The sequence below is a fragment of the Homo sapiens genome, chromosome 9 (assembly GCF_000001405.40).
Source record: "Homo sapiens chromosome 9, GRCh38.p14 Primary Assembly".
Taxonomy (NCBI): Eukaryota; Metazoa; Chordata; class Mammalia; order Primates; family Hominidae; genus Homo; species Homo sapiens.
The window spans coordinates 78,218,784-78,219,967 of record NC_000009.12 but is presented as its reverse complement, the minus strand read 5'-3'; the positions used below and the strand labels follow the sequence as shown (position 1 = coordinate 78,219,967).

General features: G+C 43.5%; 1 pseudogene; it reads right to left on the bottom strand.

Moving 5' to 3' along the window:
• Positions 1-426: 426 nt before the first annotated feature.
• On the bottom strand, positions 427-912 carry LOC107987082 (cyclin-dependent kinases regulatory subunit 2-like; annotated as a pseudogene).
• Between the last annotated feature and the right edge of the window lie 272 nt (positions 913-1,184).

Sequence of the window (1,184 nt, the reverse complement as noted above, 5' to 3'; positions counted from 1 at the left end):
CACATTTAGCTTCCACTGAGTGGGGCAGGCTTGGAGAGCAAACAAAGACTAGAGTGTAGGGAGATTAATTTCTGGCTTAATGATCTATTTAATAAAACTGAATACCCATCATTGAATTTGATTTTTCCAAATTGAAATTTAAAGTACTCAGTCACCCATTAGAAGAAAAGCCAGGACTAGAGACCTCAAGGGATGAGACTCCCAGGCTGTGGTTTTTTTCATGTACCTGAGGCTCAAGGACTTCTCACCAAAGGAGAGTTTGTGGCTTGAAAGAGCTCAGGGAATGCCCTTTGGTGACATAGACAGTCATTTCTGTATCCCATATCTTTTTTTTTTCTTTACTGCAACATACAAACTTTATTGAACAAAAGTAACAGGTAAAGTCAAACAGGCACTTAAGAGAAAAACTGACTGGAAGAGCTTTTATCTTAAACATCTTACACTAACCTACTTGCAGTTGCATTTAACTGAGCTCTGTTGCTGTGAAGAATACAGCTCATGCACAGGTATGGATGAAGGATTTGTACGTTTCTCAAGTATTCACTGAATACTACCTTATATACACATATACATTAAATTTGAAAAAGATTTGACGATCCCCAGATAAACTTCATTTTTGTTGATCTTTTGGAAGAGGTCCTCTGAAGAGAAGAATATGTGGTTCTGGCTCATGAATCATGTAATGAACCCGGCCTAGACGCCATTGGACATAAGTCTCCTCCACTCCTCTTCAGACATCAGATGAGTTTCAGGTGCTTGTTTGGAAAGTTCTCTGGGTAACATAACATGCCGGTACTTGTAGTGCTCGTCGAAGTACTTGTCCGAGTAGTAGATGGCTTGTGGGCCATCCTGCTGGCACACTGCAGGAAATGAAATGAGAGAGCGCGAAGAGGGGGGTGCAGCAGGCAACATGTCCCCATCCGGCCAAGGTAACGACTCACCAGAGACTAACTGGATCCCATATCTTTGCGGATCCCCACAGACGCATAGCAGATGAAGCAATCAGACAGGATTTTTATGCTCAGGGAGCTAGTATGAGACCTGTCCCCAGTGGAGATGGGCACGGGTCCAGGAGAGGTGTTTCAGCACTGTGCTCCCTCCCCTTCCCCAATGCCTGTCCACATGGGAGAATGTAAAGGCAGAAAAGCTAACCAGCTGAATAATGGTGAGGGACGATCTTTTTA